Consider the following 18833-nt stretch of genomic DNA (forward strand, 5'->3'; position numbering starts at 1 on the left):
TGGTCTCTTTCTATCTCCCAGGCTGGAGTGCAGTTGCACAGTCACAGCTCACTGCAGCCTTGACCTCCCAGGCTCAAGCAATCCTCCCTCCTTATCCTCCAAGTAGCTGGAACTACAGACATGAACCACCATGCCTGTGCCTTTATTTTTTAAATTTCATTAAAATTTTTTTTTTTAATTTTTTGGATGAGGGTCTCACTGTGTTGCCCAGGCTGGTCTTGAACTCCTGGGCCCAAGTGATCCTCCTGCCTCAGCCTCCCAAAGTGCTAGAATTATAGGCATGAGCCGCCATGCCCAGCTTCCCCCACCCACCCTGACTCATTTTCTTTACATTAGCGCATTTTTAAAAATATTTAATTCTATTAAATAACTGGTTTAATTTTTTTTTTTTTTTTTAGATGGAGTCTTGCTCTGTCGCCCAGGCTGGAGTGCAGTGGCGCAATCTCGGCTCACTGCAACCTCTGCCTCCCAGGTTCAAGTGATTCATCTGCCTCAGCCTCCCGAGTAGCTGGGACTACAGGTGTGTGCCACCACACCCAGCTAATTTTTGTATTTTGAGTAGAGATGGGGTTTCACCATATTGACCAGGCTGGTCTCGAACTCCTGGCCTCATGATCAGCCCACCTCGGCCTCCCAAAGTGCTGGGATTACAGGCGTGAGCCACCACGCCCAGCCTAGTGCATTTTTAACAATAAAATTAATCAAAAGATCCTGAGAAAGATGAGCCACATTTTCCTATTAGTTAGAATTTTAGGTACTCCTCAGATGCTATTTTATTAAACTTGTATGTTGCTACTCCACACATTTCAACCTGCCCTTTGCCTCATACACAATTGGGCAATTTACGGTGTAAATGCAGCATAGTGGAAGCTGAGCAGCTCTTGTGATGGAGCTGTTTAAGAAAGAGAGAATCAGCCCCCGCATTGGGGAGCTGGTCCAGCACACATGGCCTTGGGGTTCTCCTGTTGAGCACACATGATCTCACAGGACCCCCACAACAGACAAGGCTACTCTGTGATCACAATGGGGCAAGATGAAAATGAGACCACATTGTAACCCTATCTGAACACAGACAAAAAGAAAAACATGGTGCAAACCACAAAAAGGACAAAAACACTCCCTGTCCTGGTTAATAAGAGTGACTGCTCTTCTCTACCAATCTATACCAAGGCCATCCTGCTTCTAGGTAAGACTTAAGATACAGCTACAGAATCACCTCCACGTCTTGACAACATCCAATCCAGGCCACAGTTCCATTTCTTTAAGCCTTCCACAAAATGACCTGCCACTAGCTCAAGTCCCCCCAGTCCTTCCGGCCACCCTCCTATGGAGATGCCCTCATGCTTTGCCACGGTATGCATTCTCCCTGGATGCCATGAGCAATAGACCCAACTTGTTCAGTCGCAGGTGTGTCCTGGTGGGGTCTGGCTGGTGGGCATGAAGAACATAAAGGTGCTGGGCGCGGTGTCTCAGGCCTGTAATCCCAGCACTTTGGGAGGCCGCAGCAGGTGGATCACTTGAGCTCAGGGGCTTGAGACCAGCCTGGCCAACATGGTGAAACCCCGTCTCCACAAAAAATACAAAAAATTAGCCGGGCGTGGTGGTATGAACCTGTAGTCCTAGCTACTGAGGAGGCTGAAGTGGGAGGTTGGCTGGATCCCAGAAGGCAGAGGTTAAAATGAGTTATGATCATGCCACTGCACTCCAGCCTGGACGACAGAGCCAGACCCTGTCTCAAAATAAAAACCATAAAGGTAAGGGCATACAACCTTTATTTTAATTTAATTTATTATGAGTACCATGGCCTTTGAGCCTGTTATTTTTCATATGGAAAATGCTCCAAGGAGAACCTCCGACGCCCCCATCTCACCTGGAGGTGGATAGCGAGTGCTGGCTAAGAGCTTCTGGATCTGCTCTGAGGTCAGGGTCGTGATGGGCGTCAGCAGTTTCTGCTCCAGGCTGGGCAGCTCCCGGAAGGTGCTCACCGAGAACACATATTCGGGGCTCAGCGAGATCTTCACCAGCTCCTCCTGGTCTGCGTTCCTGGCGATCGTGAAAGGGGCCACGCCAAACTGCTTGAGCTCCACCGCCGGGTCGTCCACCTCATCGTCAGACTTTCCAGACGAGATGAGGACCAGGAACTGCGGGACGCCCTCTTCAATGCGGCTCCCCAGGGGCCTCTTGAAGATGTTCCTGGACACGTACTCCAGGGCATTGCCCACGTTGATCTGCCGCCCTCCCTTGGGCCTCAGCCGCTGCACCGCGTTCTGCACTTCATCCTTGCTGGAATGGGCGTTCAGCAGGAACTCCACCTTGGGGTCATCGCTGAACTGGATGACAGCCACCCGGGTGGTGTCAAAGCCCACGTCCAGGTAGTCAACCAGCCTCTCTATGAGGGTGCGAACGTACTGGAACTCAGGCCCGGCACTTTGGGACCCATCGATGAGAAAGACCACGTCCCTCTTGCCACCAACACCTGCGAAACAAATGTGAGCATGGCTTCACCTTCATCGTCACCAAATTCTTAGCGTTCATGAGCCACCGCCCAGTTTGTCATGGATTCACAGGCAGGGGATCCTAACACCAATCACCACTGTTAAAAGTCCAAGAAGTGGGAGTCCTGGGCATTTCAGTGTTTACACATCAAAGAGAAGGGGAGCAAAGGATGAAAAACCCGACGGAGGCAGAATCAGAAGAGCCTCATCAGCACCAGCGAGGATGGTACTTGGGAAGGACGTGACCTGCACTGCATCAGGTGCTGCTCAGGGACCCGAGGGTCAGCCACTGGGCTTCGCCAGAGACAGGGACCTTGTCAGATGGAGTGACCTCAACTGGAGCACTTGGGGGAGGAGCAAGGGTGAATGACAAAGTAGGGTGGGCTCAGAGAGGATGGGAGGAAAGGAACTTTAGAGTATAGATAAGTCTTTAGGAGACAGGTGCTGCTGGCAGGGGAAGTGGCGCATCAGAGAGGGTGTTTAAGAGAGAAGAAGCAATGCATTTTATCATGGATGGAACCATCCAGCACAGTGGAGAAAGGGTGACACAAGAGCAAGAAAGGGAACTGCAGATGGTGCCACTGAGCAGGTGAGAGGAAAGGGAGCTGAGGAAGCGGAGACAGGCCACCCAAGGAACCACGGGATGACGTGGCCGGGGACAGCTCTCTTTGGGTTTACTTGCATTTTCTTGGAGAAATAGGACTCAAGATTACCAGCTGAGAGTCAGGTGGGTCAGGAGAGGTGTGAGAGAAGCCTCCGAATGGGGAGAAGGGGGAAAGAGGGAGGCTGTTCTGGAGCGCAGGAGAGTGAGTGGGCAAAGAGCCACAGCGTTGTGGAAATGTACGTTCCTGACAACAGAAGCTGCACCCGCACTGTGACAATATTCCCAAAGTCCATCCTCGGCAATCTGGGGCCAAGACACAGCATCACAGAGGCCTCCTGCAGGCAGATACATTTTGGAAATGTTGCATTTCCTTTCTTGTGTTGGAGACACACAAAGCGCCTTAGTTAGGAAGAAAGAAAGCCTCTTTCACTTTGTTTATCCCACTGTTGCCCAAATTTACCTGATCATAAATGCTCAGGAACATCCCACAGAAACCTGGTGGGCCACACTGCTCTCTTCCCCAGGCACCAGCGAGGAGAAACCAAGCCCCTCTCAGTTGCACCCAAATAATCATCCTCACCTCCCTCATCACCCACTGTATCCTGCAGTGATTTCCTTTCACTTGCTTTTACTCCTTCCTCCGCTCCTCCCCAACTTTCCTTCTTTTCTCTCCTCTTGGAAGAGCAGGCAAGTGAGTGCATATGAGGGAGCAAGGCCGCATCTGCCTCCTTCGCCACTGTGAACCCCCCCCACCCGAGTGACCCGGGAGAGTGGCCCTTGGAGGACATTTATTGAGAGGTAGATATATCTTTCCTCCTTCCTTCTCAGCACCAGGGCTCCCACCATTTTTTAGTTTATTGTACCAGGCCTAGAAAGAGGGAACAGGAAAAAGAAAATAGAATAAACTATGGTCATAAGAGCCAGGTGGCCTTCCTGCCAGTTAAGACACTTCTCAGCACCAAGCAAAGTCAAAATTATCTTCACACCTTGGCTCTGGAGATACCAATATTTCAGAGTCTATGTCCCAGCTTGCAGAGTGTCCCTGGTCAGACTCCTTCCTGCCTCACAGAAGGCTGCTGACCAAACCTACCAGGGGTCGCAGGACTGATACGCAACAGGCGTTATCAGTTAGACGGCCCCTCCCTTTGGATATCTAGACAGAAGCTTTCATGCAAAGTTAAGGAGTCCTGAATTCCAAGCTGCACATATGTCCCTTTTGGAGAATTTAATTTGCCCCAAAACATGAATCTTAGCATCTCCCCCCTTGAACCTCTGCCATTTCTGCCCATCGAGGCCAAAAAGGGCATGTGGGTTCCTAAATTTTCCTGTAATTTTAGTTTTCACTTCACATGGCAGGAAAAGCAAAATTGAGAACACCTTGTGGCCCACAGTCCAGACAAGTAGCCCCAGACAATGACACTGAGTGAGGATGCAAAGAGTTCCCTGCGTACCTGGGCTCGGTAGAGGCTGCAACACCGGCTGCAGCCTGCTCAGCTCCTCGCGGGTGAGCTGGGTCACCCTCTCAGAGATGACCTGTTGGACGGTCCCCAGCTGGCGAAAGGTGGGAATGGCCACGGCAAAGTCCGGGATGAAGGAGATGGTCTGCATCTCTGTGATGTCAGCGTTCCCGATGCCAATGCCAATGGGCACAGCCCCACCCCTCTTCACGACCACGGAGGGGTTCCGCACATCATCCCCAGACCTGTCGGCCGTGAGGACGATCAGCAGCTGGGGCACACCTTCTGTTATCCTGCTTCCCGCAGAGCTGACCAGGATGTTCCTCAGGACAAACTCCAGGGCGGCCCCGGTGTTGGGGGTCGGCCCTCCCAGCAGGGTCAGCTGGCGGACAGCGTTGACGACGTCCTGCTTGTTCATGTATGAATTCAGGTAGAACTCGGGCCTGGTCCGGTCGCTGTACTGCACCACGGCCACGCGGACCCGGTCCTGGCCCACATCCAGGCTTTCCACCACTCTCTGGACAAACTCTTTCAACAGAGGGAAGCCGCTCCTGACGCCCTCAGAGCCATCAAGCAGAAACACCACGTCCTTTTCACCTGAAACTGGGAGGAGGACAGCCTGGTAACTCACACAGGACATCAGAGCAGCAATTTCATATCAACGAGGTGGGCTGCATAAGAGCATCACAGGGATGTCCAAGTCCAAATCCCCGAACTTGAGAAAAGGACTTTGCAGATGTGATTCAGGTAAGGATTTGGGGATGGGGGGATTACCCTGGAATTAGCCAGGTGGGCCCAATGTAATCAATCACAAGTGTCCTTATAAGAGGGGGTAAGAGGGTCAGAGTTAGAGAGAAGATGTAAGGATGGAAACAGAAGTCAGAGAGGAGAGAAAGTGCCAAGCTGCTGGCAATGAGGATGGAGGATGGGGCCAGGAGGCAAGGAATGCAGGCAGCCCCTGGAGGCTGGAAAAGGTGAGCAGATGAAGAATCCCTTAGAACCTGCAGAAAGAACACAGCCTGTTGACACCTTGATTTTAGCTTAGCAACACTGGTTTCCAATTTCCAGCCTTCAAAACTGTCAGATAATAAGGATTTTTGTTTTTGTTTTTGTTTTTGTTTTGCAGTGGAGGGGTCGGGGGGTGGACAGAATTTCGCTCTTGTCGCCCAGGCTAGAGTGCAGTGGCGCAATCTCAGCTCACTGCAACCTCCGCCTCCCGGGTTCAAGTGATTCTTCTGCCTCAGCCTCCAGAGTAGCTGGGATTACAGGCACCCGCCACCACACCCAGCTAATTTTTGTATTTTTGGTAGAGACAGGGTTTCACCATGTTGGTCAGGCTGGTCTCCAACTCCTGACCTCAGGCAATGGGCCCGCCTTGGCCTCCCAGAGTGCTGGGATTACAGGTGTGAGCCACCGCACCCGGCCTGTTTTGTTTTTGGCCACTAAATTTGTGTTACTTTGTTATAACAGCAATGGGAAACTAATACACCAATATAGGGACCCCTTTTATTTTGGAACTTTTCAATGCTTGAAGAGTATTGTTAGCTTTCAAAGATGTATTCAAGAAAAAACTTGGGATGGGAGGAGAGACATGAGATGGCAGCACCTGCACAACCACTAGCATTTTATCGATGGGAGGTTTCAATTGAGTTGCTGCAAGTCACAAGTGGGTTAATGGGAGGAAACGGAACCCAGATGTCGGAGTTACCATCCCAAGCCAACGGCCAATGGGCCCAGTAATCAAAGGAGAGGCTCTGGAGTCTTCATTTTTCATCAAAAGGCATACAGGGGAAATTACTCTCTTCACTGCATTTTTATCACTAAATTAAAGGGGTTAAATGAAAAGTCATGGCAGTGTCAATTAGCAGTTGGGGGATTTTAATGCAGAGTTTATGGTGGAAAGTTATCTACCTCTTCTACTCCTTTAATTTTTAATGAATGTAATGAAGGAATTATAACAATATAAAGGCATTGGGTGAATATGAAGATGAAGGCTGTTTTAGGTACAATGTAACCATATGATATGGCTTTTATTATGCATACCATAAAAACTGTTTTTAAAAAAGGATTTTAACCACTGATATCTAAATCTTTATAACATGTCTTACTATGAAATAATCTAATGCCCTTAAAAATACTCACCCTCATTCTCCTGAGAGAGCAGCTAGAGAATCAAAGTAAGGAGGGACATCTCATATTCTATTGTTCCTGCTGAAACCAGCAGGTGATTAATTTTCCACCTTTCCTGTAAACTCAAGGAGGGCTTCTATCTAAGGACCAGTGGCCAGCAGCCTACCCTCAACTCATGCATTAGAGAACTGAGTGGCAGAGCAACTAGCATTTCTCTACCATACCTGGTGCTGGTGCTCCGTTGTGCACTGATTTTAAGAGATTCACTATCTGTGGATGAAGATCTCCAATCTTGGGAAGCGACTCTGCAGCCAGGATAAACGCTGGAGACAGCACGATCTGCTCTAACTCAGCAGGGTCTGCGTTCTTGGCTTGGAAGATGAAAGGCACAACCCCACTCTGCTTCAGGTTACTTGCTGGCCCATCCACACGGTCAGATGACCTTCCTGCGACCAGCAGCACCAGGAACTGAAGCACTCCATCCTCGATCCGGCTGCCAGCAGACTTCACAAAAATGTACCTCTGTGCATAGTCCAGCGCGTAGCCCAGGTTGAGGGCTTTGCCCGTCTTGATCTTCATTCTCTTCACAAGATTCAGGATCTCAGGCTTACTCTGGTGCTCATCAAAACGGGACTCCACCTTGACATCATCGCTGTACTGAGCCACCGCAATTCGGGTCCCCTCTGGCTTCACATTGAGCTCATCGATAATCTTGTAGAGAAAGTCACGGACAACAGGGAACTGGCCCACAAGATTGGCTGAGCCGTCAAAGAGGAACAGAATGTCTCGCTTGCTCTCTGCAATGAAGGTAGATTAGGATACAATGAGGGACGAGAGCATAACAGGAACCAAAGCGACTTCAGCCCAGCACCATTTGACAACAGGAGTTGGTGAAACTCATCTGATGACCACTGTGCCAGCAAGAGAAGAGAAAACCCAAATTCATACCACTTGTCTTGAAAATGTCCTATTTCAAATCAGTGCATATTTGCAAAGCTAGTAACTAGAACAGCCTATCCCATCTAGCATCATGCTTCTTCAATAAAGCAAGCCAGGGAAAAGCCCCACTGGGTTGTGTTCTTACATCAGGTGGCAATCGCTCCAGGAAAACAGACAGCAGTTTCAAACTGTTACAAATAAAAGTATTGAAAACATGGCCCTTAATATACCTTTGCTTAAAAAAATTGATCTCAATCTCTAGAAAAAAAAAGGGGGGGCTGATATGGGTCAACCACTCAAAGATAACTGGGTTGCCATGAATCTGCTGTAATTGAATGATCAAATCATTAAATTTGAGGTTACGGGCCAAGACCCACAATAGTGCCCATTACTGCTGTGTGGGTCAGGCTCCTTGTCAATGCTTCCCAATCTGTTGTAATGAGACAATAGGAAACACAGATGACAGGCCCTATGGCACCGCAATGTGTAATGTAAATAACATTCTCAGTTAAAACAGTTCTTAGAACTATTTTGATTAGGTTTCAATTGGTTTAGTCTTGCCATTCATCTGTGTGATGTTAGCAGACTGGTAGATCTGATACAACCATATCTTACCACCATAATAATTTGCAATAATAATAATAAGTTAGCCTTCCCCTAGAAACCATTTTACCATTGCATGAAGATGCACCCTTTGTTTGTTTTATAACAAATAATTTTCTAGATACAGCAGATGTTGAACATTTAAAAATCATGTAAAAATACAATTTCAACGTTTAAATAATCCCAAGGCATATTCATGTAAGAAAAATCTCTCTCTGTCTCCCTCCACCCCATGATCCCCAAATCTGGATTCGAACTCCAGAATCCTCACAGTCATTAGAGGAAAAAAAATCCTTCTGAATAAAGGGTGAGGCAAAATGGACAGAACATAAGCTGGATGTTCTAGACTTTCCTTCGTGAACACCCTTTAGACAGAGTCCAGCCTTGCTGGTACAGTGTCTCAAGTCCCCATTCAAACTATTTCAATGGAAGGGAGCCAATTGTCTTTGTACAGTCCACAGTGCTCTTGAGTTCAGACTGGCAAACTACCCTCCAGGGTGGTGTCTGAGGAAGGAGAGGGAGTTCCCGGCAACAGGGGAGGTTTACCTGGCTGAGCGAGTGGTACTTCCTCCACACCTCCACTAACATATGTGGTTAGGGGCTGAATCAGCTGCTGAGGCAAAGCTGGCAGGGAGCTGAAATCATCCATGAGATACACCAGGCTTGGGTTAAAAGCAATCTGCTCAAGCTCTGCCTTATTCGCCTGGCTAGCTCCCACACAAAAAGTCAGGATGCCCGCGCGTGTCAAGGCGTTGGCAGCTTGCAAATAGGAGTCCTCAGACTGCCCAGCTGTGAGCAGAAGCAGGAGCTGCGGCACGTGTTCACGGATCCTGCTGCCGCCAGCTTCCGTGAAGTGGTTGGCATAGACATAGCTTAGGGCTGAGCCTGTGTTCAGGCCCGAACCTCCCTGGAGCTGCAGCTGCCTCAGATGACCAAGGATATCTGACTTGGTCTGGTATGTGTTTAAAGAGAACTCCGTTACAGGAGTGTCACTAAATTGCACTAAACCAACACGAATATTGTCATTTCCAATATCAAGGCTGTTAACTAGGTTCATTACAAAGTCGCGCACATAAGGGAAATTGGTTTTTCCAACGTTGGCTGATCCATCCAAAAGAAAGATGATATCCCTTTTGTTTGAGTGAACTGCAGTGAAGCACAGAAAAAAAAGTGAGACATACACAACCACGGAGAGTTTTATCATGTGTGCCTACAACACGTGCACACATGCCAACATTTAGAACACAGAGAAAGTCAGCATGGCAAAGCATGTCCATCTTGTAAAATATGGCAGATGGCTGCATATTTTCCTCTGGTGGTGGCTGGTGTTTGTGAGACATATTGGTAGCCGAGTTTACAAAACCAAGTTGGCTCAAAGAGAGCTACAACATCAAAGTTAGAATGTTTACAGACAACAAAAGTGATCAGAATCCTTGAAACCAAACACTCCTTCCCTAAAAATGAATACTATGAAGGTGCTGCATCAGTCCATATCACTCATCCCAGCCAGGTTTAAGTTTGCCTGGCTGGATCCTCTGGGGCTCACCTCTACCCACAAACAGAGGGTCTTCCATCCATAGCTCAGAAGCAGTTAGCCCTCACTAACCTGAGAAAACGAGTTCCTTAAGGCTAAAAAAAATAGCAAAAGTAGGCTGGTCTCATATTGAAGTCTTCTTCAGACTTCCCCGTTTGTCATTCTCCACTGGGACTCTTCTCCTATTAGGAAGTCACAGTCTTGCTAGGCAATCATCCAACAGGGGAATTCCCCCAAAGTGAGATGATGGGACCGTAAATACACAGCAAAATAGAAGGAGACTAGTTGCTAGGCTTGGCCAAACTTATACACATCAAGAATAAAAAGTATAATTCTCAAAATAGTGTATTTGACCCAACACATTTACCATGTGCCTTTAAAATTTTATTTTTTATTTCTTCCCTGATGCCCTACTGTAATTTAGACCTCACAACTAATTGTATCCTAAGTTGAACTTTGGCTATGAAAGTGTGGATTAAAAGTTTTAAGAAAAATTTTAAAAGAGAGAGAAAGAGATGGATATAGAAGACCAGGGAGTGTGAAGAGAAAGCATGCATCCAGGCAGCATGGGTCATGCCTGCATCAGGCAATCCTCTAGTGATCGAGTCTGCAAGGTGGGAAAGCATCATTCTGTGATGCTCATCTTCTCTTCATTAAGGGCAGTGAATTGTATTTCTTCAACTCATTAGCTCATAGATCTGTATAATGTCTTTAAAAATAACTCTCCACTGGCAATCATATTAAATGAGGGATTTGAAGAACCACTAGGTTTGAACTCCACACTTAGCCATTCAATATGCTTTCCCATTGAGGGTAATCCCTTAACGAGAGAGAAGAGAGGGATTAAAAGCTGAGGACACTGTGCCCTAAACAGCTCAGACTGGGGCTGTTTAGAAGTAGATGGACAACTCAGGAAAGGAAAGCTACATCCTGGTGATGAGGAGGAGACTGGACAGAAATCACCAGTAGAAACAGAAGAACACAGGGATCTGACAAGCGATAAGAACTGAGATGTGACCTCCTCGGCCAGAAGCTTCAAAGACAGGTGGTGGCCCATGGTCCTGTGGTTTAAATCATATGGTTCTTATATGAAATTTCATTGCATGACATTGTAAACCATACAATCCTGAACCCAGTGCAAAAGGAAACCTGGAATAAATCATGTTCGTTGCTGCTGTTTTCATCATTTGTTGTCTCTTAGCTAAACACAAACACACTTCATTTTGTTTTGTTCTTAAAGGCCCTGCCTGGAGACCACCCCATTGTGTGTCTGAAGCCATCACCACCATACCTTCAGGGGTTCCAGAGAGGGTCCTGAGAGGTGCCAGCAAGCCAGGCAGCATGCCTTGCAATGGGGCGGCTCGGAACTCAGCTGGGATGAACACCAGGGAGGAGTCGAAAGCGATCTCTTCCAGCTCAGCCTGATCGGCACCCTTGTTCCCAATGGCAAAGGCCATTATGCTGCTTCTCTTCAGCTCCTGGGCAGGCTGGCTGATTTCATCTAGGGACTTACCACCTGTGATCAGCACCAAAAGCTTAGGAATCCCCTCGGCAGCCCGGTAGCCGGCTGAACTCGTGAATAGGTTGTTACGAACAAAGTCTAGAGCAGAGCCCGTGTACAGGGCCGAGCCGTCCAGGGGCTTCATTTTCCGCACAGCGGTTATGACTTCCCTTTTTGTTGGATGGGTATTGAAATAAAATTCAGGCCTCACAGTGTCTGCATACTGGGCCACTGCCACCTGGATAAGATCCTGTCCGATTTCCAGCCTCTGGATGACTTTAGCAATGAAGTCTCGGATGGCATTGAAGTTGGCCAGTCCCAGTGCAGATGAGCCATCCACCAGGAAGACTATGTCTCTCTTGTTGACTTCAATGACTGTAGGTGGCAACATTATAAGGCAATTAGAATGGCCTTACCAAGCACAATCAACAATGACTTTCAACAAAGCTAACTCCATTTAAAGGACACCCTCATTTACTGTGGCCAACGTGACCACAGGGCCACCCCAAAGGGAATTTGTCCTAATGAACACATAAGTTATGGTTGCCTCCCCACCTGCTGGAGGAAAGCTGGCTCACCTTCCACCCTGCCCAGTCAGTACTTTTTACAAAATAGTTGCACAAAAACAAATTTAGTTTTAGTAGCCACCTGTTTTGTATGCTGTCACTGAAAATTCAATAAGTTCTCTTCTGCCGTAAATACACAACTTGGCCAGAGTGAAGTCATTGCTTGAATAATTAAAGAAACCACTGATGTCTGCTCAGAGAACCCTTTGCCTCACAGTCTTCATTTCAAAATGCTCATTGTCAAGTGCAAAAGCTGAAAGAGCCTGCACATCCCTGTTCTCTTCAGTTCTATATTCCCTGTCTTCATTTGACAGACGAAAGAATTACTTAACATAAAACGTATAAAAAGGAAATCAGCATCAAAGCCAGCAAGTGCCGCAAACATTTTTCACTTAAGAGACCTGCGTTTTGGCCAGGCACAGTGGCTCACGCCTGTAATCCCAGCACTTTGGGAGGCTGAGGCAGGTGGATCATCTGAGTTCAGGAGCTCAAGACCAGCCTGGCCAACAAGGGGAAACCCCATCACTACTAAAAATACAAAAATTAGCCGAGCGTGGGGGCAGACACCTGTAATCCCAGCTACTCAGGAGGATGAGGCATGAGAATCACTTGAACCTGGAAGGAGGAGGTTCCAGTAAGCCGGGATTGCACCACTGCACTCCAGCCTGGGTGATAGAGTGAGATTTCATCTCCAAAAAAAAAACAAAAAACCTGTTTTTAAAGATCCTAAGTAATATGACAGTGATAACTTAAAGGCAAACCATAAAGCAAAAACATCTCAATAAGATAACTGTCTCACAGTGACTGTGAACTGCTGTATCCATGTGCAGGCACCCTGCCCATATTGCAAGAACCATGAACTCTGTTAAGACCACAACACCTAACCCAAAAACCTGACAGAGATTCCAAGAAGTAGAGGAACATAAATGATTAAACCTGAGATGGACTGTTTTGCAAAAGAGTCCTCTGTTACTGTATTCCATCAGATAGATTGCATGGCAAGTTGATTTTGTAAAAGCAGACAAAGGAAACAAAGTTTGGGATGAAGGTAAGGAAGAACTTTCTAAGAATCAGAGCTACCTTCTAGAACATATTTTTATTTTTATTTTTATTTTAGGACAGAATCTCACTCTATCACCCAGGCTGGAGTGCAGTGGCATGATCTCAGCTCACTGCAACCTCCGCTTCCTGGGTTCAAGCGATTCTCCCACCTCAGCCTCCTGAGTAGTTGGGATTACAGGTATGCACGACCACGCCCGGCTAATTTTTGTTTTGTTTTGTTTTGTTTGGTAGAGATGGGGTTTCACCATGCTGGTCAGGCTGGTCTCAAACTCCTGACCTTGAGTGATCCACCTGCCTCAGCCTCCCACAGTGCTGGGATTACAAGGGTGAGCCACCACATCCAGCCTAGAACACATTTTTGAAATGCAGTTCATTTCTAGTTGTTTGGACCAGAAGCTGGGAGCGTGATGCCTGGGGTGAGAATCGCTGATACATGCCAAATGAAGACAGCAGTGCCTCATCTGGGTGCTCACCTGTAGCATCAAGACAAGGTCTATGTTCTAAGAGAAGGGTAACATGTTATGCACCAACGTCCTTAATACAATAACACAGTTGCCTACTGGTGTAACAATGTGTGCAGAACATCATTGAACCTTTTCTCAATATTTCATGGTCATTGTTATGAACATCCATTCTGGGCTTTCCTTCCTTCATTTAATTTAGAACATGCTGTCTCTCTGGGCTACCCCTTCATTTTGATTTAAAATATCTTTGCAGATAAAACTAATGTGTAGATCTCTAGAAGACTTATACCTTTGTACCATTAGAGAGAATATATATGTATATAGATACACACATACACGTATATAGACACATATAAATTCCATATATGCTATACCATGAATCTACCACTCATGTATTTACTATGTATATCACACATGACAGAAAAATAGACAAATACTCATATAACAATGACCTGAGAAGCTACTTGCTCCTATACCAAGTGGCCCAGATTGTTATATTCTTCTTTATAAGTACCAGCAATGGCACAACTCTTGGGGTGGGAGAAGATAAATATCATCCCCTACCCTCCCACGTTTTCCCTCCCCCTACCACTGCATCACTAAAAGTTCTCCCGATGAGCCAGCGGGAAGGAATACCTTCTAGATCTAATGAAACAAGTGGCCTAGTCTCCTTGCACCCAACAAGGATTCAGCTCTGGGAACCCTGAAATGCACCTCTGGTTCCCAGAGGCTCTGTCCCAGAGTCCCCTTTGATTAGGTAAGAGGTCATTTACGTTTGATTTTTATTCAAGTCATGGGAGCTCATGACAGATGATATGCCTAGAACCATGCTTAGCCAAATATAGTAAACACTGAAAAATATTGAGTAACTGGAAGAATAACTGAATTCCTATGTTTGCTTCATGACTCTGACGCAATTCACCTAGGCTTTGCAGAATCATTTCATTTCTCTGGGGGCTGCACCATGAATCTCCTCTGACCCAGTGATAAAAACCTTGGGATTCTCACAGCTGACTCTTCTGTGAGCCACGTCAGGGATGCATACGCATTTCCTTCCACTTGACATAAATATCAACCCAAACACAGCTGTCTTATCTCTTTAATGTGGCTCTGCAGGGCCTGACTTCACTGCCTTGTTGGGAGATGAACTTGAAGGTCCTGCTACTCCTCACCAACATGGCACAACCCTCTTCAGCCCTCCTCCCACGCCTCTCTCTGTTTTCCTCCATGCCTCATCCCTGCACCTCCATCAGACTCTCCTGAAAGCCTCCATCAGGCCCACAGTCTTCCTCATGCATCACCCAAGCAGTGGACATTCCTGGAGAAGACCACACAACAAGGTACCTGCATGCCACGCTCGGAACTCCAGACCCCCATCAGGAGACCTGTGCCTGCCCACCATCCTCCCATGCCTCCTTGGGAAGTTGGCTGTCCTGTCCTCCAGAATGACTGTCTCATGGCTGTGCTCTCTGCTCAGCCCTCTGCCACTGCCTCCAAGGCCTCCTCATCTGTCTCTGAGAAAATAGAAGCCCTCAGAGGAGAGCCCCTGCCCCCACCACTAACCCACAGCCTACCTTCCTCTGCCATTGGCTCCCAACCCACAGGCTCCACTCCCTGTGGCTTCTCATCCCCCTACAGCAGCTGCTTCTCCAGCTTCCATGCATCCAGGGAGTCTGAACCTCAGGCTCCCTGTCCAGTGTGCTCCAGCTACACTGCCTTCTGACAGTTCTGGGAAGGGACTAAGTGCCTTCTTGTTGCAGGGCCACCCCTCCTGCTCTTCCTTCTGCCTGGACCACTCTTCCCCCTGCTCTCCGCATGCTCATCTGCCTTCGGTTCCACACCTTCTCAGGGCCTTCCATCCACCTGATCTAAAATTCCCTTCCCCAGTCTTCCTATCACAGCCCTGTTGAATGCCCCAATGCAACTTATCATGCTCAGAATATTTTGCCTGGTCACTAGTTTATATTATTATTGTCTCTTTCCCCATTATCCTGTAACAGACGAGCAGCCACATCTGTCTCATTAAACAGCACCATATCTCTAGTGCTTGGCATAGTGTCTGGCACATGCCAGATAGTCAAGGATATTTGTTGAATATTTACAAGTTAATCATTGATATTAAACATGATGTTTGTAATCAAGGGGTTGAAACTCTACTTGGCTAGGGAAAATCTGAAACAAGGGTCATGTGCTGCCCATTTTCATTAAAAAGTTGAAACTTCTCCTGGTACAGACATATCTTCATCTGGTGCAACTCCTTTGTCATAAATTCAAGAAATCGAAACCCAGAGAGGTTGCATGACCTGCCCAGGATCACATGGCAGGTCCACAGAAGACCCAAGACCAGAGACCAGCTTTCCCATCTACAGCCATGTTGCATCGTCGGTGTCTGCAAAACATAGGGAAATCTCTGGGCTTCTATACTTTGGGATGCACACCAATAGTATGCAAGCTCAGAGAAACCTCAGCAGGTCATAAATTTTCACTTGATTGTTTTCTTAATTGCCAGAGTCACAAAACGGCACCATGATGGAATGAGCATGAGCAGCTCCAGGCACCGGGCATGTAGTCCTGTACACTGTTTCCATTGCTTCTCAATGTCCATTTGCATTCAGAACATTATTTTCAAAATTCTAGTCTCTCTATTAGCTCATCTGGAGGATTTGGGCCAATTTTATGGTCCCATCAAGTGAGAGGAAAAGCTGGAAAACTGTATGCAGCAAAAGCTAAGCCACACAGAATTGACCTTTCAAACTTAAATAAATGCCAGACACAGCCTTCTCCAGAAGGCAACACTCACATATACTTTTCTTGCTACATCACCTGGTCACAGTTCCAATGCACAGATTAAGTAGAGATGCCATAGCCTGAGCTTTCTACCTGTAATTTTTATTACAACAAAAGCTGTGGTTTAAAATCATTTGAGGCAAGTTCAATCTAACTCAGTGTGAATTTTGTAACCCTTGTAAGGAAATGTGGTGTGTTGCCTTTACATGAATGCAGCAACTAGAACTAATGATTAGCAAGGCACTATTAAGTAGAGGTCAGCTCCTTAAATAAATAGATAGTGATGTTTTTAATTAAGACTTTAAAATCTTCTACTCTTAATTTCATACAATGGCATATTCTCCAAAATGGTTATTTTTAAATTATTTTCACTCCTTTATCAAAGGAAAACCTCCCTTGATCAATTGTAATTGATACAATGGGTAAAGCAGTATCTTATTACAATATTTATCTTGTAGACCCAGACTTTATTTATAAAGTTAGCAAATAAGAGTTGTAACAATGTGTTATTTCACCCAAGAAAATTTAGATGATTGGTTGCAGATGATAATCAGAGTCTTATAGGAGCCTCGGTATCCATTCACCAATTTTCATTGAGCCCATACTCTGGAAGGAAAATGAAGAATAAGGTCTTATAGTCAAGGACTAATCTCATTAGAGCATCCCAGTGTGTAAGCAACACTGGAAGTGAGTTGGGTGTTTCTGGAAACTGTTGGGGGCCACTGTGTCCCTGATTTACCAAATGGCATCCTATTGGCCTGACCTAGGTAATGAAATTGATAGGTCTGAAAAGTGACTGATGTCTCAGAAAACAGTTCAAAAGGTAGAGGAGGCTATGCATCCTGATGCCCCCACCATACCTCCTATGTTTGTTAAGTGCATATTTGTTATGTGACTTGGTTGGTTTTTTTGTTTTTTAAACCACTCCAATTGGCTGTTTTGCCAAAGGCCCTCCATTTGAGCTTGTATCCTAATATTGCCACTCAGGAGAATTACTCCTACACTTCACAAGCACAAGAAAAAAAAAACTTCATAAATATTTCATCAAGTGATTACACTGTTATTTCTTACCTTCAGAAGTATAACTCTCAGCACCCTAGCACAAAATGACTTTGAGGAGACACCCTCACTCCATCTTTGCTTTTGGAAAGATACTCTGTCTATGAGCACACTTCTAACACTGACTTTTAGAGCTCAATGCCATAGTCCTGGAGTAACTTTCTCAGAACTGTAATGAGCCCCTCAAGCCCATTTTTAGGAAGACTGGATTATAAGTAGTTAATACGGTGATGTTTAATAATCTCAAAGCAACAGGTTTGTTGAATTAGCCTTAAAAGCACGCTTTCTCAGCAACTCATACTCTCGTAAGAGCTTTCACTCACTCATTGGTCTTTAGTTTTTCCGCACACATGACATCACAAACATGACATCCAGGACCCAGCTCATCAGGGAAGGACTGGACTGTGGGTACTTACAGCTTCTCCCGTGGCGAATCATGCTGGTACCCACCTTACGTCTATGTAAACCAACACACACAACACCCCACTCCCACACAGATGGTGAGAAGAGGATACATACCTTGTGTGACAATGGTTGGCGGTTTCAAGACAATGTGCCTTTGGGCCACGCCAACAATGTACGGCAGTAATTTCTCCTGGAGGTCCCCAAAGCTACGGAATTCCGGGACAGTAAACACCAAGTTGTCATCGGTAGCTATGTGCTGAAGCTCTGCCCTGGAGGCGGCCTGGGCTCCAAGGCCGAATGAGAACACGCTAGCCTGCTTCAGTGCTACCACCCCGTAGCGAATCTCGTCACTAGAAGGCCCGGCACTTATGAGGACCAGCACCTGGGGAACCCCTTCCTCCACGCGGCTGCCCCCTGCCCGGGTGAAGTGGTTCTCCACCACGAAATCAAGGGCGAGGCCGATATTGGCCAACTCCCCACCAGCAAACCCGAGGGCTTTCACTGCACCCAGAACCTGGGCCTTGGTGGAGTAGGTGTCCAAGGAGAACATGGTTCTGGGCTCATCGCTAAACTGGACCACCCCCACTCGGATCTGCTGAGTTCCAATTGGGAGTTTCTCAAGGAGATTTACAAGGAAGTCGAGAATGACTGCGAAATTGACACTTCCGGTGTTGTTTGATCCATCAATAAGGAAAATAATGTCAGCAGAGTCTTGTGCTTTAAAAGAAAGAAATGCAAAAAATGTGAAAGCATTAGAACAAGTGACCACATGCATTATTCAGTGTTCTGACATGTTTCTTTGGAAACCAATAAGAAACACGAAATATGGGCAAACAAAACACATGTTGATGAAGGAATGTGAAATTCTCTTTCAGTTCTGCATTCTGAATGGATAAGAGGCAACCTCTTAGAAATCATGGTGTAAAAAAGGGACATTTATAGCAATTTTTCATTTGTGCCATCCTCATAGTTAAATTTCCAAACATCATATTCACTTTTCTGAGGGGACAATCTTGGGTACATATTCTAGAAATTTCCACTAAATTTGGAGGGAAAAGTAGTAGCATGAATTGTCCACTACCAAACCTACCAGGGAAAATCAATGAGTAGGTTACCAAAACTTTAGAGATGATTTCTAATTTTTGGTCATTTCTCCTGCCTCCTCAAATGATTAGAATAATTTTTTATACAAATCCACAGCTACAAAACAGAGTCACGATTTGGTGA

The 18833-nt window shown here is 46.4% G+C and overlaps 1 protein-coding gene across 5 annotated transcripts in view; it reads right to left on the bottom strand.

The window, feature by feature from the left end:
• COL6A3 (collagen type VI alpha 3 chain) overlaps positions 1-18833 on the bottom strand; it is a 90147-nt gene that overhangs the window by 45844 nt on the left and 25470 nt on the right. For 2 of the 5 annotated variants that reach the window (NM_057167.4, NM_004369.4), the window contains 6 exons: positions 17721-18323; positions 11054-11638; positions 8775-9374; positions 6911-7483; positions 4551-5159; positions 1871-2476 (listed from right to left, as the gene is read on the bottom strand). In NM_057167.4, coding sequence (NP_476508.2) covers positions 1871-2476; positions 4551-5159; positions 6911-7483; positions 8775-9374; positions 11054-11638; positions 17721-18323 — 3576 coding nt within the window. Of the gene's footprint in view, positions 1-1755; positions 2477-4550; positions 5160-6910; positions 7484-8774; positions 9375-11053; positions 11639-17720; positions 18324-18833 lie in introns of those variants that run through there. The other 3 variants (NM_057165.5, NM_057164.5, NM_057166.5) reach the window with 3 other exon arrangements.

This window comes from Homo sapiens, chromosome 2 (genome assembly GCF_000001405.40).
Source record: "Homo sapiens chromosome 2, GRCh38.p14 Primary Assembly".
NCBI classification, from domain to species: Eukaryota; Metazoa; Chordata; class Mammalia; order Primates; family Hominidae; genus Homo; species Homo sapiens.